General features: G+C 45.9%; 1 protein-coding gene across 5 annotated transcripts in view; it reads left to right on the top strand.

Annotated features, from left to right (window-relative positions):
- The window catches only part of SIL1 (SIL1 nucleotide exchange factor), a 251,645-nt gene that overhangs the window by 76,651 nt on the left and 151,059 nt on the right, over positions 1 to 23,935 (top strand). For all 5 annotated transcript variants that reach the window (NM_022464.5, NM_001037633.2, XM_011543570.3 and 2 more), the window contains one exon: positions 545 to 683. In NM_022464.5, the coding sequence (NP_071909.1) occupies positions 545 to 683 (139 nt within the window). The remainder of the gene's footprint in view (positions 1 to 544; positions 684 to 23,935) is intronic.

Below are 23,935 nucleotides of genomic sequence, written 5' to 3'. Positions count from 1 at the left end.
CATAGGCACACTGGGGAATTGTGCCCTGCTGGGCTGCTTGGGAATCAGTTGGGCCTTAGCTGCCAGCTTTTGTACATCTGTAGTGGCCATTTGAGGCCTTACTCTCCCATTCATGTATGTGTTTTTTTCTTTTCTAAATATGTTTATTTTTATTGTAAAAATAATATGTGCGAGTTTTAAACATCAAACAGTATAATAGCATGTCAAAAAGTAAAAGGCTCTTATTGTTTCGTTTTGCCAGCCCCTGTCCCTAATGTGTTCCCTTAACCTGCTCAAGATACATGGGATCTTCTAGAGTCATTCCCTGTGCATTTTCAAAAGTACCACATACGCACAGGACAACATGCTGCATTCATTTAGCCATATCACCTCACATGTGCTGGTTCTGAGGCTGACCTTGGGAAAGGAATTGCGAGTGTCCAGACATATCAGGCTGTGGGGGAGAGGGGCATGGAGGAAAAGAACGTGCCACCCTAGGCCATTTTTTTTCTGCTTACCTGGCGCCTAGTTGCAGTGGGTCATGCCCTGTGTTTTCTTTTCTCAGAAGGAGTTTGCCCTGACCAACCCAGAGAAGAGCAGCACCAAAGAAACAGAGAGAAAAGAAACCAAAGCCGAGGAGGAGCTGGATGCCGAAGTCCTGGAGGTGTTCCACCCGACGCATGAGTGGCAGGCCCTTCAGCCAGGTATCAGGCCCAGCCCTGTCCCCACAAAACACACTTTGAATTCAAACTGCATATGTCCTTTGTCCCCAGAGGGCTGCTCCTTCAGGCTGCTCTTCTCTGGCCTGCGGGAGGGAAACAGCATGGTCCGTCAGAGTGGTAGCTGCTGCTGCAGGGCTCAGGGACCTTCGTTTTCCAGCAGAACAGAGATTGCAGCATCTTAGTGCCCTGGAAGGAAGGCAGGTGGTGGGTGGCCGTGGTTTCTGAGCAAGTGATTGAAAACTTTCTTTCCCTGCACTTCTGAAGCACCAGAGAGGCAGTGACATGTGCCTTGCTCTGCAAATGCTATTTTGGGCTCTGCTGCTCGGCTCAGTGCTGCTGAAATATTGTTCTTGGGAGAGTCCTGAGCACTGGTGTGGGGCAGGAGTATTCTGTTGTTAAAGGAACCTGTGCCAAGAAACAGGCTGGTCCTGGCCTGGTTTTTAAATAGTGCATCCTCAGAAGGAACAATTTTCTAACCCTTTCATGAGCCTGGGCCCAAGGCTTAAAATAATGAGAATAGTCAACAATTGCAGAGTCTTCACCATATTCAGGTACTGTACTAGGTGCTTCGTATGCATAATCTTGTTGAATTTTCACAATAATAGGAACTATTATTATCCTTATGTTCAGATGAAAGCACTGAGGCTCAGTGAGGTTAAGCAACTTGTCCTATGTCATCCAGCTAACTTGCCCTATGCCATTGACCCCAGAGCCTGGGCCTACTCTCTTCCCACTTCTTCCCAGTCCTAGCTGTCCTTGGCTGGAGCCTACTACTCTGACACTTGGGACTGTTCTCAGGAGTGGCAAGGTGGATGGCAAGCCCCAGCAGCTGCCACAGTGTAGTTTCACCAGCTTCTTGCTGATATTCATCACCATGTCCTCACTGCCCCCACTGCTGCTGTGCTGGCAGGGCAGCATTTGCTGTGCCAGCCAGCTTTCTGGTAGCAATATTGCTCCTGCTGTGTTTGCACATGGGTAGTTGCTGCCACAGAAGAGTGATGAAGCACCGAGGAAGCCAGGTGGGAGCTAATGGCATTGAGCAGAGGGAACTTTTAGGAATAGAGGTACTGGGTTCAGCAGATCCAACCTCTGCCTGCCACCACCCACCCCTTGCCAACCTGGCTTCACTTGAGAACTTAGTCCCACTGGTCCTTAAGGACTAAAACCAGAGGCTGTCAGGGGTAGGGCGTGGAAGATACGGACTATATCCGCTGATTTTATGTATATAGTGTTGCTTGTATCACTTTCACTTTTTTGAGACAGGGTCTTGCTCTGTCACCCAGGCTGGAGTGCCATGTTGCGATCTTGGCTCACTGCAACCTCTGCCTCCTGGGCTCAAGTAATCCTCCCATCTCAGCCTCCAGAGTAGCTGGGACTATAGGTGCAAGCCACCACACCCAGCTAATTTTTGTATTTTTTGTAGAGACTAGGTTTTGCCCTGTTGCCCAGGCTAATCTCGAACTCCTGGGCTCGAGCAATCCACCTGCCTCAGCCTGCCAAAGTCCTAGGATTACAGACGTGAGCCACCGCACCTGGCTTTCTTGTACCACTTTTAACCAGGCAAGTTCCTGGAGCAGATGGAAGTCAGTGTCCTGTGGCCTCGACTCCTACTCTATCTGTTTCTGTGGTTGAGTCAGTAGCTCCCTTCATCCAGTAGCATCCTGGTTCATGTTGCAGACTGAACGATGTTGATGGTTCTGACCCTGGCCCCTTGCCCAACCCTCTGGGCAGTGGGGCTGCTATTAATGGCTAAAAAGAGCCCCTCTCTGTATCCTTGGGGAGGGACAGCCAGAGCCTGTGTGACAAGAGTGGACTGTGGACTCTGAGAGACTCCTGGAGAATTGGAGTAGAGCACTGATTTTTACAGTTAACTTGATGTTTCATTGGCATCACCCTCTGCCTTGGAGTTTCTCAAGAGTCCCTGGTAAACTCTTCTGCACAAAATTCCCTTGGAGTTGTCCCAAAGGCTGGTGTGTTGCAGTTGCACCCAGACGCAGAGGCCCTGTAGCTCAGAGGGCAAAGCAACTCTGGTTCCGGTCATGCCTGCCCCATCCCAGGAGCATTTTTTGCCTACACTACATCTCAAAAGCAGGACTGGTGAGGGGAGGTTAGGTGGGAGGCTTGTTCTGGCCTCAGTATCTGATGTGGGGTGATTCAGAATCTGGTGTCATGGTGTCAGACCAGTGGAGGCCCCAGTAAAGAATTGACATGTTTTCTATGTATACTGTTAGGAAACTGACCTCTCAAGGGTGTGTGTGGATAGCTGGCACTTGCCTTCAACCAGATTATGGTACTTAATTTACCACATTCTGAATTCTGCCTGGGAGCTTCCCAACACATCTACCTAAAGATTAAAAGGAATGTAGCCAGTCCTGGGAACTGGATGGGTAGGTAAATGGGGAGGTGGTATAATTTAGTGGTAAAGAGGACAGACTAGATTCAGCCAGTTTGGGGTTCAAACCCTAGCCTTGATACTTAGGGGATCTTGGGCAAGTCACAGAATATTTCTGTTCCTTGGTTTTGCATGGGGTGGCATGGGGGAAGTGTCCTGCCCTGCCTGCTGCGGAGGCTGTTGTATGGAGTGAGATGGTAGATGCAAAGCCCTCTGCCTACTTCCTAACATGGAGAAATCACTCAGTACACAGCTGTTCTGATTTTCAGTGGTAAATTCTCCACTTGGCCATCCCTTCAATCCCATTGTGGAATCACTGGATGCCGGTGAGGGTACATGAGCATGTAGGCTTCTGTCCCTATGGCTTTACATGGGAAAGGGAACTTACGATGTGAAGAAGAGACTTGCATGTTCATGAAATGTCCTCTCTCCCTCAACAGAGACTTTGATCAAGGAGCAAGGGTAAGCACGAGCAAAAGGGGTTAGCAGAGTGTTTCCTGTCTGAGAGTCAGTGGCATGGCACAGGAAGACGGTGGACTTTAAGAAAATTGCAAGTTTATATGGACAGTTATTGTCCCCAGTTCAGTACCTTCTGTCCCCTCAGGGCTCTTAAGGGAGGACCACAGCTGTGTTGTCCTTAGGCTCCCAAGAGGGGAACTAGGTTTCGTGGGCTGTTTTGGCTGTGCTCATTTGAAGGCAGATTTCCAGACTGCCTGCTGCCTGGAACACCAGGGGACAAACTCATGACTTCGTGGGCCTTCCCTGCAGTCCAGGTAGGAATTGGGCCCCAGTCACTCAGTCCTGGAACAGCTGCAGGTGAATCTCCTGAAGTCTATCTGCCCCTGTTATTACTGTCAGCATCCTCACTGGGAGCTGCTTGTTCCTAGAAGTGATTTTCCTGTCTCTTTCTTCTGGTTTATTTTGGGATCTGCCTCACCTTACGGAGGCACAGCAAGCATTTGAGGGTGGATACAGCATTAGCTGTTCACAAGCAAGCAGAGGAAAGCTGTTTGCTGGCAGGTCCTGGGGGTTCTGGGCAGGGAACTCAGGAATTTGTCCTGAGGCTGAGGACCTGAGGCTGAACACTAGGACTTTGGACCTGTGCAGTTGGTATTACAGAATGCTGGTCACAGCCACTTCAATGGGCTCCTGCACCCTGGGCATCATCTATAGCCAGAGATATAGGTAACAGCTCACATTTACTGAGCACTGACTCTGCCAGGCATCCTTTGAGGGCAGGTGCTATAACTATCCTCATTTTTACAGATACAACTGAGTCTCAGAAGGAAGGACTCAGCCAAACAACCAAAAAGTGGTAGAGTTGGGACTCAAACCTAGATTTGTCTGGCTCTAAGCCCCAGCTCCTAACCACTGTGCCATACTATCTTCTTGTGTAGCAAAAAGGACGTGACCCCTGCCCTCTATCCAGCTCATAATCTTACAAAGGATACAGAGAACAAAGACAAAAACAGCCACCAAAGTGTTTTGGATGTCTTGGTGGAAGTATTTTGTGCTCAGTGAGGGCATAAAGATGGTATGGCAAGGCCAGGGCCTTTTCTCTTTAACCCTGAGATCTGTGTGGGGCAGTTCATCAAATTTTATGATGCTGAATCTCCAACTCCATCTGCAGCTCTCTCTTTGAGCTGTGTGGCCTTGCTCAGGTTGCTTAGAATCTCAGAACCTTAGTTTCCTCATCTGATGATAGGGATGAAAATATAATACCTACTTCGCAGAGATGATGTAAGAATGAAACAAGGTTAACATATGTAAAATGTTCAACACAGGGCCTGGCACATAGGCCATATTCAATAAGTGGCTATAGTTGTCATTTAAAAATATATACCTTTGTTCTGGGCACAGTGGCGTGCGAATGTAGTCCCAGCTACTCAGGAGGCTGAGGTGGGAGGATTGCTTGAGCCTAGGAGTTTGCATCATTGGTAACTTGGTGTCTGTGAATAGCTACTGCACTCCAGCCTTGGCAACATAGTCTTTTTAAAAATATATATCTATGTATATACACCTTTGCTACCTCCCTTTCCTTGGGGACCTGAAGGGGAAGTGGAGGTAAGGAGGCAGCCCTGGCAGAGGGCCCCTTGTTCTGCTCATTACCCAGTGCTGCATGTTGGCCCCATGTGGGCTCAGGGAAGCGTAGCCAGCCAGGAGCAGACCTGGGGCTCCTTATTGACCTGATCTGACTCCAGGCGGCTGTGAGAGTCTCTGAAATATTGGCATTAGCACAAAGAGCCCACTCAATGTGAGCACGCAGGAAGCCTGTGCAGGAACACGTTCATGTGAGGGGGAAAAAAAAGAAAAAGAAAAAAATTCCAAATCATCAACAACTGATGAGAGCAATCCAAGAATTATAGAGCACCAGCCATCTGGTCAGATCATTTCAGATCTGCACGAGCAATAAGAGGGAATTGAATTTTAAAAACCTCATTTATAGTAGACCAACTACTCTGGTTTCAAGTATTTAAGAGAGGAGTCTGATTTCCTGCAGGCCCTGGACATCTGTCTGAAGGAGCACCTGACTCTGGTCTGGGTGACTCTGTGACACTGTTTCTGTTGGGCCTCTGGCTCTTTGCAGCTTTGGAGGGGCGGCGTGGTTCTCCACTCCTCTGACACCAAGTGGGTGTGCAACAATTCAATTCAAATCTGCCAATGTCTATGTGGAATTAGTCTCAGATCCCTCAAGTTAAAGGGCTAAGTCCATAAGACTGCTTCCATTTCATATGGCAGTTGCAAGTCCTGGGCCACCTGTATTTCTGACTGACCAGGTATAAGTTGGGGATTCTCACAATCTCCTTCTCAGGTTTGACATTAATAATTTGCTAGAATGGCTCTCAGGAAAACACTTTATGTTTATTGGTTTGTTATGAAAATGCAACTCAGTGACAGCCAAACGGAAGAGTTTAGATGCGGCAAGATATTGGAGTGGGGGTAGGGAGTGGTGTGCAGAGCCTTCTAGCACTTCAGTGTGTCCGCCAACCCTCATGCTCAAGTGGAGTTCAGGAAGCTCTCTGAATCCTGTTGTTTCAGGGCTTTTATGGAGGTTTTATTATGTAGGCATAATTGATTAAAGCATTGGCCATTGATAATTTAGCTCAATCTCCAGTCCTCCTTCCCTCCCCTGAGGTCAGAGTGGGGCTGGGGCTGAAAGTTCCAGCCCTCTAATCCTGGGTTGGTCTTTCTGGCAACCAGCCTCCATCCTGAAGCTATTTAGAACCTCCAACCAAGAGTCACCTAATCAGTATAAAAGCCCCATAGTTGAAAGGGGTTTGGTAGGAATAACAAAGTACACTCTTATGGCTCAAAAAATTCCAAGAGTTTTAGAAACAATGAGCCAGGAACCAGGGTCAAAGACTACACATATTTTTTATTATACCACAGTTGCAATAAAAGTGAGACTAAGGGGGGCAAAGCTCCCAGTGTGTTCTGCCCCCTCCCCAGGTCTGTGGTTGGGAGGCAGGTGACCCTCCCTCCCTCCCTGATCCTGGAAGGATCTTCCTTACGGGTCTTCTCATTCCCCATGGTCCCCAAGAGTATAATCTCTTCTGTCCCATCCTTTATACATAGACATGCACACACATGTGAGGCCCAAGAAATTGGGTGGGAGCAAGGTTGTTGGTTCAGGACACTTCATGCCTAAGCCCCTGCGGCTCATCAAAGTGTGACAGTGGGACTTCTTAGCTGCTGTTAAGGAAGTAATGACTTAAGGGAGGGGGATAGCCAGGGGTCTTTGTTGGATGATGTTTCACCCTGGCTCAAGCACAGTGCTGGAAATGTGGGGCAGGGGCTAAATAGAAGAAACAGCCTGATTCTGTTGGGGTGGTCTGTCTTCTTGGACATAAGTTGCTATCTCTGGCAACTTTTCAGGATGAAGTATTCAACAGAGCTTACTTTTGGTGCTACTTCTTTCTGCACAGTGCCACCCTTCTTACTTTGAGGGCTTTCTAGTCTTCTGGGGATTTCCTTAGAACTTCATTTGTTCCTCTTCTACCTATACTTCTGGTCCCTCCCTCTATAACTTCCACCTTCCCAGCCTTTGCTAAGCATTCTCGACTCTGAGCATCTCCTTTGCTCCTTGGTAATACAAGCTTGTTAGGGAGAACCACTTGGGGGATGGAAGGATGCCAGGTCTCTTGAGGCCTATAGGAGCAGTTTCTGAGGCTTCAAATTATCCTGTACTGGGAGAGAAAAAAAGATGGTGGGCTGGAATACAGGAAGGCCCCAGGAGGCTCCATGAGGATCATTTAGATCTCTTCATTGCAGAGAGACCTCATTTCTCATGTAGGGAGGTCTCTTCACTAGCCTCTCAGGATGGCTGATCACTGCCCCTCAGCAGCTAAATCCCACAGCCCCCTGGGAGAGCAGGTGGAGGCCAGGCCAGGAAGGACTGCAACCTCCATGGCAGCCACTGCCAAGACTGAGGCCACTTTGCAGCCGGCTGGCTGAGTTCTGCTCTGACACCAAAGCATGTCTGCCCTGGCTTTGGCCTTCATTACCCGGATGGGACAGGCCAGGGTCCAGTTTGCAATCTGTGCATTTGGGTGGTGATGGAGAGCAGCTGTTGGCCATCCTCTTTCTAACAAGCATTTGTATGCTTAACATGCACCCTGAAGCCCTTATCCTCCCCTTCCTCTGCTTCTATCCACCTGTTCTCTCTGAGGTTTAATCAGGAGTGCTGAGCAGAGTGGCATAGCCTCAACTCTCAAAGGTTGGGACACCCAAATGTCTGAGATGGAAAACTTAGACCAAGTAGGGATGATGGAAAACTAGCTGCCAAAATAGTCCCAGCCCTCATGCCACAGACTTTGTTTTAGTTCAGAGAACCTTTGTAGCTCTGACTTTGCTTCCTTTTCTAATATTGGCCTCACCCCACTGGCCAAGACAGCCCAGGGCATCTCCACGGTTAAGACTAACCAGGGCTAGGAGTAGTTCTCAAGGGCTGGCCTAGAGCTTGAATGAGAGGCCCTTTCCCAGAACCTGTTGCATTCTTAGTTTTGTCAGAGCCTTGGAGGTAGGAATTGATCTATAACTTAGAGACAGTACTTCACTAGATAGAGAAGAGAACAAAGTATGAGTAGTGGTGTTGGTGGGGATAATATGAACAGAGACCTGAAGTGAGAGTATATCTGCTTGTCTGGAGTGGCAGGTGTGTGTAAGGGAAAAATGAGGTGGTGGGGGTGGGCAGCATCCACTCTGTCAGAGGTGGGGGCCAGTGAGGGAGAGGGAGGAGATCAGGAGGAGAACTGACAAGCCAGTAGATTTAAAGGTGTGAAACTTTTTTTTTTAAATTTATTTATTTATTTATTTTTTATTTTATTTTTTATTGATCATTCTTGGGTGTTTCTCGCAGAGGGGGATTTGGCAGGGTCATAGGACAATAGTGGAGGGAAGGTCAGCAGATAAACAAGTGAACAAAGGTTTCTGGTTTTCCTAGGCAGAGGACCCTGCGGCCTTCCGCAGTGTTTGTGTCCCTGGGTACTTGAGATTAGGGAGTGGTGATGACTCTTAACGAGCATGCTGCCTTCAAGCATCTGTTTAACAAAGCACATCTTGCACCACCCTTAATCCATTTAACCCTGAGTGGACACAGCACATGTTTCAGAGAGCACAGGGTTGGGGGCAAGGTCATAGATGAACAGCATCCCAAGGCAGAAGAATCTTTCTTAGTACAGAACAAAATGGAGTCTCCTATGTCTACTTCTTTCTACACAGACACAGCAACAATCTGATTTCTCTATCTTTTCCCCACATTTCCCCCTTTTCTGTTCCACAAAACTGCCATTGTCATCATGGCCCGTTCTCAATGAGCTGTTGGGTGCACCTCCCAGACGGGGTGGTGGCCGGGCAGAGGGGCTCCTCACTTCCCAGAAGGGGCGGCCGGGCAGAGGCGCCCCCCACCTCCCGCACGGGGCGGCGGCCGGGCGGAGGCGCCCGCCACCTCCCTCCCGGATGGGGCGGCTGGCCGGGCGGGGGCTGGCCCCCACCTCCCTCCCGGAGGGGTTGGCTGCCGGGCGGAGACACTCCTCACTTCCCAGACGGGGCGGCTGCCGGGCGGAGGGGCTCCTCACTTCTCAGACGGGGCGGCCGGGCAGAGGCGCTCCTCACCTCCCAGACGGGGTCGCGGCCGGGCAGAGGCGCTCCTCACATCCCAGACTGGGTGGCGGGGCAGAGGCGCTCCCTACATCTCAGACGATGGGCAGCCGGGCAGAGACGCTCCTCACTTCCTAGACGGGATGGCAGCCGGGAAGAGGCGCTCCTCACTTCCCAGACTGGGCAGCCGGGCAGAGGGGCTCCTCACATCCCAGATGATGGGCGGCCAGGCAGAGACGCTCCTCACTTCTCGGACGGGGTGGCGGCCGGGCAGAGGCTGCAATCTCGGCACTTTGGGAGGCCAAGGCAGGCTGCTGGGAGGTGGAGGTTGTAGCTAGCTGAGATCACGCCACTGCACTCCAGCCTGGGCAACATTGAGCACTGAGTGAACTAGACTCCGTCTGCAATCCCGGCACCTCGGGAGGCCGAGGCTGGCGGATCACTCGCGGTTAGGAGCTGGAGACCAGCCCGGCCAACACAGCGAAACCCCGTCTCCAGCAAAAAAATACGAAAACCAGTCAGGCGTGGCGGCGCGCACCTGCAATCGCAGGCGCTCGGCAGGCTGAGGCAGGAGAATCAGGCAGGGAGGTTGCAGTGAGCCGAGATGGCAGCAGTACAGTCCAGCTTTGGCTCGGCATCAGAGGGAGACCGTGGAAAGAGAGGGAGAGGGAGACCGTGGGGAGTGGGGAGAGGGGAGAGGTGTGAAACTTAAGTGTAACAGATTAGTCTGTCATAGAATCCAACCAGGAGCTGTGCTGGGAGATGAGGAGATGAAGAAAGATGATGTAAACTCCTGGGTTTGAGGAGTTTGATAGTAGAAGAGGAGAACTGAAAGGGCAATTTCAGTTAGCGATAGCCATATCAAAAAACTTGTTCATTTCATATTCCATTTGTTGAACTCCTGGAAGTATAGTGCTTGATGCCAGGGATACCATGGTGGGCATGACAGAGGTTGCTCACTTGGGCTTATAGTGATGGAGGACCCCCTACAGGAAGGTGGCTCAGTGAGAATGCAGAGGACACTGAAGGAAAGGCTTCCCTGAGGTGGGGTCATTGGAGCTGGATGGAGAGAGGTTTTCTGTATGTTGGAAGGCAGAGGGGAAAGGAATCAGTGTTGACAGATTTATAATCCCATAGAGGAGATCATTGATGGGGCAAAGTTATTTAGGTAGCAGATGGACAGTCTTGGCTTCATAAATGTGATGAGACTGAGAAATTAGAAGCAGAGGCTAGAAAGGGACACAGAAAGGTGGTAGGGATATAGACAGAAATTGAAGAAGCTCCTATTAGATGTCTTCAGTTTTCTGAGCCAAGCTGAGGGTGGTCTTCTGCTTTGAGCAATGAAAGAGAAGTACCCATTTGGGTGCTTGAGAAATGGAAGGTTGGGAAGAACTACTGTGGGGAAGGTGCTTGGACAACCAAGAGGTCAGAACTGAGCATCACCCAGTATTAGGAAAAGTCCAGTTAACATCTGACAACCTGACACTGTGGTGGGTGAGGTTTGTTGACTTCCTTGAGTAATCTGAGCCCTGGGCAGTGCATACATAGGTGGACAGTGAGATGGCTGGAGTCTGAGGAATGATAGGCAGATCATTCTGGGGACTCTTGGGTTGTCTCTGGGTATGGTAAGGGAGACTTTTGTCCATCTGGCCCATGGGGCTTTGTGAAGCCAGGTTTCTGGCAAGCTCTGGAGAGCTTTTTGGAAGCTCCTCTGAACCTGCTCCAACCTTCCCTCTTCTGAAGACAGGGAACATCAAGGGAACTCTTTGAGGCCCTGGCAGTGCACAGGGCAGGGTGGGGGTGGCACCCCACTAGCCACTGATCTTTTGGCAGCCTGTCAAGAGCCCACATGAAGCACAGCCTTGTGTGCAGGGGCTCTGTGAGCCTTTTGTTGCCTGGGTGCTAATCAAGCTGATTATATTTCTGTTCATGTGGGGGTTTTGTTTTGTTATTATTCATAAACTCATAAGTTGTTGGTTTTTCCTTATTTCCCATAATATGTGGATTTGGGCAAACAAAGATTGAGTTTTAGTTTAATTTATTTAATTCCCAGAACAGTCTGTTTATGGTTTGTGTAATGCAGCTGTTTGGAAGAAGAGAACCATTTCTTTGGATTAAAAGTCTTCAGATTTGATTACCTATGGCCATAATGAGTTTATCTGGGCAGGGGTGAGTTTTTAAGGAATAGTAATATGGTATATTTGTAAAGTTCTTTTTCCTTAGGGGAAAAAAGAAACGACCCCTGCTCCCCACCCCAGTAGCCCTCTAAATGTTATATAAACATCATCTTTTTAATCTCTATTCCATCATCTCCCAGTTTGGTCAAGTCATTCAGGCTCTTCTTTTTTTTTTTTTTCGAGACAGAGTCTTGCTCTGTCACCCAGGCTGGAGTGCAATGGCGTGATCTCGGCTCACTGCAACCTCCATCTGCCGGGTTCAAGCAATTCTCCTGCCTCAGCCTCCTGAGTAGCTAGGACTACAGGCGCGTGCCACCATGCCTGGCTAATTTTTGCATTTTTAGTAGAGACGGGGTTTCACCATGCTGGCCAGGCTAGTCTTGAACTCCTGACCTCGTGATCTGCCAGCCTTGTCCTCCCAAAGTGCTGAGATTATAGACGTGAGCCTCCGTGCCTGGCCAAGTCATTCAGGCTCTTAGAGGATGAGGAGGTTGTCTAGTATCTCATGACCAAGAAATGACTGAGAGGATCCTAGAATGGAAGGGGTTTACCAAAAAAAAAAAAAAAAGACAGAGGGGAAATAGGACCCAGGAATTCCAGTCTAGCAGTTGGATGGGGAAAGGAAGAAAACTGCTTTTTTTTTTTTTTTTTTTAACATCCCCTTGTGCTAGGTGCTTTGTGTATATTAAGTCCTCAAGATACCCCATAAGGGAGTAGTTATGTTTTCTCTTGGTCTCTTTTGGAGCCCATGGTCCATTGGTAAAGGGGCTTCAGATCTCATTGCTTTTCCCAGATTTCCTTTCTTCTGAAGATGGAATCTGCGGGGTCATGATCTGAAAGCAGTTTTATTTGACGTCTACATGGGAACAAAATAATGTGAATTTTGAAGGCCTTTGACACTGAGAGGGGGAAATTATTCAAGCAGACACAGAATTATCAAGCTGCCCTGTTTGGGTTTCTAAGTTGGATCTTAGGGATTAATTCTTATGTCCCTAAACACAGCAGAGTAAGCAGCCCTGTGTGCAGTGTGATTTGAGGGCTGTTAGCTGGCTTTAGATTCCCACTGGGTTAAATTGTAGATGTAGAGGCTGGAGGAATTGTTCCCTAAAGATGGTTAGCATTTTAGCTTCCAGTATTTGATCAAAGTATCTAGCTGAGGATACTTTGGAGTTAGGTATAGAACAGTAGATTTCAAAGGAGAGGGCTCTTTTACAAAGCTGGCAGTAATGGAGGCACCCAGATAAAGTGTTTCATTTACAGGAGTCCATCTTAGTTTTGAAGTTAAGGGATGTACTTTGTGGGGTGAAGAGCAGAAGAAAAGTTCTAAGGAAGGCTGAGCATTTTTCACCTATTTGCTGGCTTCATCTGACACTGCTGATGCATATCAATGAAAGTCTTGGTTCTAAAGTGGCCGTTTGAACACAATACTCTTTTTTTTTTTTCTTTTCCTTGTTTTCATGCTCTCAGTTCTTTTCCCTTTTCCCCTCCTTCACATCCTGCCCTCCCTGCCACCTTACCTTCCTAGCTGCCTCTACCTGCAGCTGACTGGCAGGTGGCAGGGATGAATAGATGGAGAGGTCTGTAGCTGGGGGAATATTTTCTCAATTCTGCTAGCATCAAAGAAATGATTTCCCAGCCTATTCTTCCAGCCACGTATTTCGCTGATCAGTCAGAACTAGAGGAAAAACACATTAGCGTTGCCAGAGAGGGGATTTGGGAAAAATCAAGTCTGTGGAACTGAGTGATCTAAAGTCATAAGCATTAAAAACAAATCCTGGAGTGCAGCTGGAATTCTTCCCAGCCTGCCTCCCACAGCCCTGTCCCTTGACACACACACCATGTGCCACATGAATAGTTTGTACCTCAACTTTCCCAAAGATCCTAATACTAACGACAAGGTGTCCGTTTGTGTTGCCCATCATTGGATATTTCTGGGCATAACATGGGAAAAAAAGCAATCCCAGGAGCTTTTTCCCCTTTTTGTGACCTCCGTGTTTCCATAGGCTTGAAAAGGCTTCGGAATAGAACTCTCTTGAATTGAGCACACCTACATGCTCATCTATTTTTCCCTCCATCTGGCACCAGTCCAGAGTGAGGTCTCAGGAGAACAATGGCCTTTTCTTTACCCTTAATCCAGGAAGGTGCTTCTTGTCAAGAGAAAAAAAATCTTCTGGTTCTATGGGCAGAAATTCAAGTGGAGTATTTCGTCGTCTTTGGAAGAAAGATAAAGCCTATAATGCCCTTTCTTCAATGAGACACATTCTTCGGAGAGGGAATGGCCAAGAGCTGAGCCCAGATTGTATTTTGGCATTTGATTGTTGCTGCCGTGCCTTGAATATAGCATGTAGTATAGTGTTTTAGAGTCAGTCTACCTGGGTTCACACCTCTGCTCTGTCTTTTATAGCTAGTAGCTGGGCAAGTTACTTAATTACAGTAAAGATTAATGAACTATCCCTCTCTGTAAAATAGGGGTAGTAATAATGCCTACTTCAGAGGGTTATTTTAAATAGTAAATAAGGTAAACATGAAATGTTTACTGTGATGCCAGGTGCATAGTAATAGCTCAGTAAATGTTAGCTGTTGTTTTTTCTGTTGTATTAAAAATCAGTGGACATCAGATGAACCCAAATTGAGGTACAGTCTGCAGAATAACTACCAGCACTTTTCAAGTATGTCCAGGTGATGAAAGACAAAGACTGAGGAACTGTCACAGATTGGAGGAGACAAAGGAGACCTGACGACCAAATACAGTGTGATATCCTGGATTAGACTGTGCAAGAGAGAAAAACATTAGTGGAAAAACTGGTGAAATCCAAGTAGAGTCTATAGTTTAGTTACTACTGTTGTATAATTTCTTAGTTTTGATAATTGTCCTATAGTTTTGTAAGACGTTAATAGCAGGAAAATCTGGATGAAGAGTATATGGGAAACTCTGTATTTTTTTTTCTTTTTTTTGCAACTTTTCTGTAAGTCTAAAATTGTTTCAAAATAAAAAGCTAAAATAGAATAATGTCTAAGTGATCTTTTTAAGTAAAGGAGAAACTCACCAGGGTATAGCTGTGCCCCCAGCATAACAGGTAACACCTGAGTCAGTCTTGCCTCCCATGTCAGAAGGAGGGCTCTTACTCAGGGATCCCAACACCTGCCTCTTAAGCACCTGCACACCTGCTGCATCCTCAGGCAAGGTCTGTTCTAGGCAGATAATTGGTCAGATAGCAATGCAGACACACACCCCAGATCAGATCCTGCAGCGGGGCCATACAGCAACTGGGGAGGAGGCCACTCATGTGGCATTAGGACTCTCTGCAGGGCTGAGTGATCAGGGCACTTGTCTCTGTTCTTTGGAATATAAATGAAATTCTGCCTGTTTTATCCTACCTAAGCACCAATCACTATGGCAGTATGTTTGTGGATTGTGATGCCTACCCCTACGCTCATTGTTTGATCATCCAGAGAAAGAAAAATAATTTCAAGCCTTTGCAGTAATTTATTATTTTCTTTCCTGCCAAGTGGCTTGCTTTTGCACAAAGCAGGTATTTTGCTTGCTTTTCTTAAGTGTAAAAGGTACATGTGCTTTTCTTATGACTGATGTGGCCATCCCTGTCATGCTAATAGCAGGGTTTGTAGAAGAAAGCCATTATCATCATTGGAAGAATGTGAGTCTTGGAGTTTTTATTTTTGCTTTGAAGTCAGGTATCGGGGGTTCTGGAAAGTATAGAGTCTTTCATTCTAGCACACAACTCCCTTACAAGCATTTACCCTCAGAAGCCCATATTTTCTAAGTTAAAAAAAATCAATGCTAAAAAACATTCTTTGTATTTTAACTCAATGGCTAAGCTATGCTGCTTTTTGCTGTTGATTTACACATCTTATTGTCAGACCCTTGGGATGTATGTGGATTACTCAATGCTGTGACAAATGGCTAGGCTCCGAATTGTGTATTATATTACAGGATAGTTCATAAACCATATTTTTCTGTAGGTTATTTTAGGCATAAGACTAGTGAACTGCCATTTCTCTTTTAGTCACACGTGACTTTAAAAAGGTGGAGGATGCCAGTGGGAAGGAGAAGTGGCTGGCTCAAGATTGAATAGCCAGTGGCCCCAAAACCTTGTGAATGCAGAGGCTTGAAGTGGACAGACCTTGAGTATGGATTGGGAGGATTGAGAGAGCAGAGAGAATCTGCTGGAAATCAAGCCTTTTGCTATACCTTTGCTCAGGCTAGAGCACTAGCAGAAAAATAACTGGCTTCTCCTCTCCTGGGGCTTCTGAGTCCTGAGAATCCTGCACCATGAGTGGGCCTTCCCCACTCCTGCGTCCCCCTCCCCTACACAGCCACTTATGCTGATGGATGTGCAAATCCTTTACAGACAGTTTGGCACGGCTTCGCTTGCAGAGATCATCTGTCTCTTTTGACTGAGCAACTTTATGTTTGCGGCTCCTTTTCCCTGCACAGAGAGAAATTGCCTTGTGCCGGCTTCTGCCTTCTGATGGAAATGTTTACCTTCCCTAGGGAAAGCCACTATTCTTTGGGGGTAATGTTTGCTGGTGCTCTCCACCCCTTTTGGGAACATAAGCCTGTGCTCAAGGGTGGACTGGAGGAGGCGGCCGTTGGAGCGTGCACGATTGCTACCGGGGCAGCCATCTGCCAGTGTCGCGGCTCACAGCCTGCCTCTGAGCAGGCCGCCGGGAGGGAATGTCTGCACTCCCGGGCCTGCATGCATTATGCACAGCCCATTCCCTAAATGAGCTTTCTAAGGGTATATAACTCCTTTCTACTCTGTTCTTGTATGGCCTGCCTCAGGACACCTTTCAGAATCTCCCCTAATTATGCTTCTAGTGCCAAGCATTTAGAATTTCTGGTAACAGCTGAATTTTTTTTTTGATAGATTTCTGCAATTGCAGTGAGGGATTGATTTATAGTTATGGGAGGATTTGCTTCTTCCAGGGAAATTATCAACACTGCGATGATACAGTTTCATGTCAGTGGTATTTTGACTATCCAAAGCCACAGTCCAGCCTCCTTGGCCTGCCTAGCTTCTTCTGGAATGGACCCCTTGTAATTTGAGGAGGCTGTTCTGGCATTAGAATGAAATCTGGGCTTCCAGTTGCCGACCACCACCTTCCCCACATATCGCCCCCCTCTTCCCCACCTTCTCTTCCTGAGATGGAGGAGTTTTTTCACATGCTGCTTAGAAAAAGGAGATTCATAACATGACTCAATCCTCACCCACGGATCTAGGATTCCTGCCATCCAGTAAATTTTGGCAGGCAGGCTGTGTGTACGGAGAGCGAGTCCTGCCGCCCTATCCCTGCCCTGCTCCCCTCATTGCGTGTGCTTCTTGGGTGGAGTCTGGGTTGCCTAGCCTCTCATTTCTTCCGCTTTTCCTCTAAGCAGCCCTTCCTTCTTCTCTAGGATTGGCCTTCAGTATCTGTCAGGAAAAGAGGACAGTCTCTCACGTTCCTGGGACTTCACAGAGAGACCCTTAGGAAGAGTTCAAGTCCTGAGGTGTTTGGGTACTTGCCATGTGCCTACTGCTGCATTAAATACAGTGAGGTCATAGCAGAGTGCCTGGGCCTTAAGTCTTAATCCTTAACCACAGCCTACCTGGGAATCAATTCAAACAAAAAGATTGGCAGTCTTACTAACCCACTCAAGGATCTGGATATACAGGTGTCCTTGTGTCTGTCATTATGTTGATATGTCAGGGTCGTTGAGGCCTCCAGGCTAGTGCTGGTGATGCTGTGATACTGTTGAAAGTGAGTTACTGGTAACGTTGGGTTTTCCTTTGCCCTCTGCTAGGGGAGAGGAGAGGAAAAGGGGCATTAGGTTCTAGAAAATCCTTGTCTGTGAAGACTTTGGTTAAACTTTGTCTTCCTTTTACCCATCTCTGGACAAGACAAAAGGACCCTGAATAACAGAGTAGGGAGCAGAGTGGGACTTTGGGGAATCAGAGGCAGTGAGAGACCAGCAGGAACAGAGAGAGGACTTCTGGCCTACCAGCCTGTTAGAACAAGAGAAAGGAGTCCCTTCTTCAGCCTGGCTAGCCAGGGACACCCATGCTCGACCCATTGTTGGCGTGGTCTAGGAGGAGCCAGGAGGCCCCTGCCCAGTCTGTTACCTACAATTATTGTTGCTACCTCTGAGCCACGTGCTGCCGTCTTTAAAGGCTCACAGCTACAGCAGAGTGAAAGGTCCTGAGCTGCTTGGCTCCTGCAGCATGGAGGCTGACACACAGGGAGAGACTTAGGACAAATCTGGACCAGACCAGGTGTGGCTTCTTTTTAACCTAGCCAATAGGAAGCACTTGTTGTAGGAACCCTCACCCCAGTCTGTGTAGATGTGTCTAGAGCTGAGCCTCTTTCTTCCAGTTTGGCCTTTGTGGGCTCTCCTTCCCATTTCTGGCCTCAACAAACTGACCTGCCAGCAGGTTCTGGAGCCTTCCCAGGCCTGCAGCAAATAGGGCTTGGCAATGACAAGATCTGTGGTAGGGCAGCATTTATTGGATGTCCTTTGAAATTAACTTTCCCATGGTCCATAAGTGCCTCCTGGGAGTTTCTTCAGGGTCCTGGCTTCCCTTGAACTTCATGCTTATGCTGACTCCCACACACATGTCTGTGTTTTTCATTTTAAAGATGATTGGTAATGAATTGGGGGAGGGGAGTGAGAATTTGCTTTCCTCTGCACCAGAAGTGCAGTGCTGCTAATTTCATTCTCCACACTTTGTCTCTGAGATGAGCAGGGTCCACTGTGCCCATGTTTAGTACTGCTGTGTTGCTGGACTCTCCTGGCAAAAATTAGGCTAATGTCTCCAACAACTGCATTAGCCACTGAAATGAGGTTCTAAATTGAAGGTACTACACCAAGTCTCTCTCCAAGGTATCGCCTTGTTCTGGCTTTTATTATTCAAATTCATTCTCTCTGATTCTCCACAGACTGACTGGCACGCTGGTTCAGTGCAGCACATTGTACTAGCCGAAAGGCAAGATCACCTTTTAAAAAGAGGGAGGAAGGAAAGGGGCAGGGGGAAAGGCAAAAGAGGAATACTTGCTGTGGTGCAAAGAATCAGAACTCTTATTCTAAGAGCTGCTTGACAGGCCTGTGCAATGCTCAGAGATAGGAGAGAAAGGGATCAGACCTAGAATAGGGTGGAGCGGTACCTTGGGTGGGGATGTCATTGCGGTAGTGGTATCTATGCCTTGTAAGTTCACTACATCTTCTTCCTTCCCTTTCTTGTTTACTGAGCGCCTAATGCCTCACAGGGTGCTGAGAATTTTGAGGTGGGAGACCAAAGATCAAAAGGACAGGATCTTTCCCTTAAGAAGCTCTTGATAGGCTGGGCATGGTGGCTCACACCTGTAATCCCAGCACTTTGGGAGGCTGAGGCAGGTGGATCACCTGAGGTTGGGAGTTTGAGACCAGCCTGACCAACATGGAGAAACCCCATCTCTACTAAAAATACAAAATTAGCCAGGCGTGGTGGTGCATGCCTGTAATCCCAGCTACTCAGGAGGCTGAGGCAGGAGAACTGCTTGAACCTGGGAGGCGGAGGTTGCGGTGAGCTGAGATTGCACCATTGCACTCCAGCCTGGGCAACAAGAGCAAAAACTCCGTCTCAAAAAACAAAAAAAAAAAAAAAGAAAAAAGCAGCCCTTGATCTTAGTTTCATCTGTTTTCTGTCTTGGGTGCTATGGGAGGGGAAGGAATGGGAGGAGGGGGCTGGACCTTAGGATTCTTGCATATTATATTGGAAGTAGGATACTTTCAGCAGTCAGATGCCTAGAGAGTTGAGAATTTGGCTCTTATATGTTTGTTTTTAAAATGACTTTCTCTCTCTCTCTCTCTCTTTTTTTTTTTTTTTTTGCCTGCTGACAAAGTAATATGTTTTCAAAGCAGAATACTTGGAAAACATAGAAAAACACAAAGGGAGACAACAACAACAACAACAAAATCACCCAAATCCCACTGTGCAGATGTAAAATTAACATTATGGCTTGTGTTCTTCCAGTTGTTTGCACAAAAGTGCAGTCATACTGTACAGACTATTTTGAGACAGATACTTTCCCTTTAGAAATGGAGACTGAAAGTTAGAGCCTCCAGCATATAGGTATAAAGTGAGCCTTAGGCATAAAGTGAACATTTTCCAGGTGCTGTTCTTTAATATATTCAAGTGTATGAATATACCAAATTATACTTAATTCTTACGGTTGGGCATTTAGATGGTTTCCAGTTTTTCACTGTTGTAAATAATTCATTAGTGAATATACTTGTATTTATTTTGATGTATTCTCTGTGTTCTTAGGATTCACACCCAAGTGCGTGTCTTTTCTGATTCTTTTCACCCAGCATTTCAGCGAGGGCAAACTCTTTTCCAGGCGTTTTAGATAATACCATGATTTTGAGTATCTCTCTGCACTAACATCAGATGCCCTGGAATTTCTTCTCTATGTGGTCCCTGGATTCTTCTTCTTTGTCCAGGAAATAGCTGGGTTCAGGTGAGATGGGTAGCAAGAACAGAATACACATTCTCATTGTTTTGTGCCAAGATCGTAAGGTCCCCAGAGACCTCACATTGTCATCATCCCCTTTGATAGCAAGCAGTTATTGAATGCCTACCTACCTGTGTCTAACCCAGAATCAAATGGAGGAGATACAAAACAGGTCTCTACTCTCAGGGAGCATGGTGACTGATTGAATAACAGAATTAACATGAAAGAATTCACACACAATTTATTGAGCACTTGCTATGTGGTAGGTATTTGTTCTAGGCTATTTTGGGGGGAAGAGAAAAGGTAGATGTGCTTTTCTTCTTAAAGGAAGCTACAGCATTTATACACAGTTTATATACAGTTAGCCACACAGGTCAATAACTGATAAATATCTGATTGTACAGACATTAAGTTCAACGTTGGTAGTCATTGAAGTGTTAGGGTTGCTTTGGTGGAGAAGCTCATTCACTATGAGAGTAATTAGGTAAATTTCAGAGAAAAGATAGGAGATTAATTGGGGCTTGGAAAAGCTGGTATTTGATGAGGTGGAGTATAAAGGGTTTTCCAGGTGGGAGGAGCAGCTTGCAAAGAGGTAGTGGCAGTAATGACTGTCTTATGATGGTGACCAGGTGTACGGCAGCACAGAACAGAGGATGGAGAATTACAGAGAGGTGAGGGAGAGTTAAGGTTATATTCTGAGAGTTAGGGAATCCAGAGCAGTACTAGGTACACAGTGGATGAGAAAAAAAACTTGCTACATTTGTATCTGATTAAAGGGAAGGTAAGAAAGTCTTGATTTTTCTCAGTGCCAGAACGCCCCAGGCTCAGTCCTTGGACCTCTGCTCTTCTCTGTCTACACTTAAGGCGTTGGTGACTCATCTAGTCTGATGGCTTCATGTTTCATCTGTATGCTGATGACTGCTAGGTTTTTTTTTTATCTCCAACCTAGGCTTCTCTGAACTTCAGATCCATCTGCCTACTAGACACCTTTACTTGGATAGGCATCTTAAATTTAACATGTCTAAAACTGAGCTCCTGCAGCTTTCCCCACTTCAGTTAATGGCTATTCTATCCCTTTAATTTTTCAGGTCAAAATCCTCACAGTCATTCTCGACCCCTTTCTTTCTCTAAGACCCCACATTCTGTCTGACAGCCGATCCCAACAGCTCTGTCTTCAAAAAATATATCCAGAATTTGACCACTTCTCATCACCCGTGTGATCACCATGATCTCTCACCTGGATTATTGAATAGACATCTAATTAGCCTCCCTCATTCTGTCCTAATTACCTGCAGTTATTTCTCAACACAGCAGCCAGTGATCCTTCTACCATGCCTTCCTGTGCTTAGAAATATCCTCTGGTGTTCCTTCTCACATAAAGTAAGGGTTAGCTCCTTCTTTGGCCTGCACAGCTCTGTGATGCGGCTCACCATTACCTCTGTCATTTCATTTGCTGCTACTCTCCCTTATATTTCCTCTCCTCTAGTCACTCTGGTCTTGCTCTTGTTCCCTAAACACATCAGGCTGTCACACCTTGGGACCTAGAATGTTCTTCTACTGGATGGCTTTGTGGCTAGCTCCCTCACTTCCCTTAGTCTTTCCTCAGAAGTGACTTTCTTCTTTTCCAGTGTCCAAAGCTGGATTGATATGAAGCAACAAAATAAGTAAGGTAATATTGGATTATAACTCAAATTATAAAATAAATGTACATGAGTCTAAACTCATTTAAATAAATGACTAGGGGAGAAGAAGTTAAATCTTTTTAAAAAAATTTCATGTTACTTTTTGTGCATACATTATAGGTGTATATATTTATGAGGTACATGAGATGTTTTGATACAGGCATGCAATGGGTAATAATCACATTATGGAGAATGGGGTATCCTTCCCCTCAAGCATTTATCCTTTGTGTTATGAACAGTCCAGTTATACTCTTTTAGTTATTTAAATGTACAATTAGATTATTATTGACTACAGTCACCGTGTTGTGCTATCAAAAGTAGGTCTTACTTATTCTTTCTATTTTTTTAATATCCATTAACCATCCCTATCTCCTTGTTCCCCTTCCCCACTCCCTTTCCTAGCCTATGGTAACCATCCTTCTACCTGCTGTATCCATGAGTTCAATTGTTTTGATTTTTAGATCCCACAAATAAGTAAGAACATATGATGTTTGTCTTTCTGTGCCTGGCTTATTTAACATAATGATCTCTAGTTTCATCCATGTTGTTGCAAATGATAGGATCTCATTCTTTTTTTTTAATGACTGAATAGTATTCCATTGTGTATATGTACCACATTTTTAAAAATCCATTCATCTGTTGATGGACACTTAAGTTGCTTCCAATGTTGGCTATTGTGAACAGTGCTGCTACAAACATGGAGTACAGATATCTCTTTGATATACTGATTTCTTTTCTTTTGGGTATATATCCGGCAGTGGAATTGCTGGATCATATGGTAGCTCTATTTTTAGTTTTTTGAGGAACTTCCAATTATTCTCCATAGTGGTGTAGTAATTTACATTCCCACCAACAGTGTATGAGGGTTCCCTTTTTTCCACATCCTCTCCAGCATTTGCTATTGCCTGTTTTTTGGATATAAGCCATTTTAACTGGGGTGAGATGAGATGATATCTCATTGTAGTTTTGATGCACATTTCTCTGACGATCAGTGATGTTAAGTACCTTTTCATATACCCGTTTGCCATTTGTATGTCTTCTTTTAAGAAATGTCTATTCAGGCCAGGTGTGGTGGCTCACACCTGTAATCCCAGCACTTTGGGAGGCTGAGAGGGGGAGATCACTTGAGGTTGGGAGTTTGAGAACAACCTGGCCAACATGGTGAAACCCCATCTCTACAAAAAATACAAAAATTAGCCAGGCCTGGTGGTGGGTGCCTGTAATCCCAGCTACTCAGGAGGCTGAGACAGGAGAATCACTTGAACCTGGGAGGCAGAGGTTGTGGTGAGCTGAGATCACACCACTGCACTCCAGCCTGAGTGACAGAGCGAGACTCCCTCTCAAAAAAAAAAAAAAAAAAAAAAAAAGAGTAAGAAAAGTCTATTCAAATCTTTTGCACATTTTTTTGATGGAATTATTAAGTTTGTTTTTCCTATAGTTGTTTGAGCTTCTTAGATATTCTGGTTATTAGTGTCTTGTCAGATGGGTAGTTTGCAGATATTTTCTCCAATTCTGTGGGTTGTCTCTTCACCTTGTCGATTGTTTCCTTTGCTGTGCAGAAGCTTTTTAATTTGATATGATCCCATTTGTTCATTTTTGCTTTGGTTATTTGTGCTTGTGTGGTACTGCTCAAGAAATCTTTGCCCAGACCAGTGTCCTGGAGATTTTCCCCAATGTTTTCTTGTAGTAGTTTCATAGTTTGGGATCTTAGATTTAAACATTTAATCCATTTTGATTTGATTTTTGTATATGGTGAGAGATAGGGGTCTAATTTTATTCTTCTGCATATGGATATCCAGTTTTCCCAGCACCATTTATTGAAGAGACCATCTATTCCCCAGTGTATGTTCTTGGCACCTTTGTCAAAAATGAGTTTACTGTAGGTATGTGCATTTGTTTCTGGGTTCTCTCTTCTTTCCATTGGCATATGTGTCTGTTTTTATGCCAGTACCATGCTGTTTGGGTTACCATAGCGCTGTAGTATAATTTGAAGTCAGGTAATGTGATTCCTCCAGTTTTGTTCTTTTTGCTAAGAATAGCTTTGGCTATTCTGGTTCTTCTGTGGTTCCATATAAATTTTAGGATTGGTTTTTCTATTTCTATGAAGAATGTCATTGGTATTTTAATAGGGATTGCATGAATCTGTAGATTGCTTTGGGTACTATGGACATTTTAACAACATTGATTCTTCCAATCCATGGACATGGAATCTCTTTCCATTTTTTGGTGTCCTTTTCCATTTCATTCATCAGTGTTTTATAGTTTTCATTGTAGAGATCTTTCACTTCTTTGGTTAAGTTAATTCCTAGATATTTAATTTTAGTGTGTAAATGAGATTACTTTTTAAATTTCTTTTTCAGATTGTTCACTGTTGGCATATAGAAATGCTACTGA

Source organism: Homo sapiens, chromosome 5 (genome assembly GCF_000001405.40).
Source record: "Homo sapiens chromosome 5, GRCh38.p14 Primary Assembly".
Lineage (NCBI taxonomy): Eukaryota > Metazoa > Chordata > Mammalia > Primates > Hominidae > Homo > Homo sapiens.
This window is presented reverse-complemented; position numbering and strand designations above follow the sequence as displayed.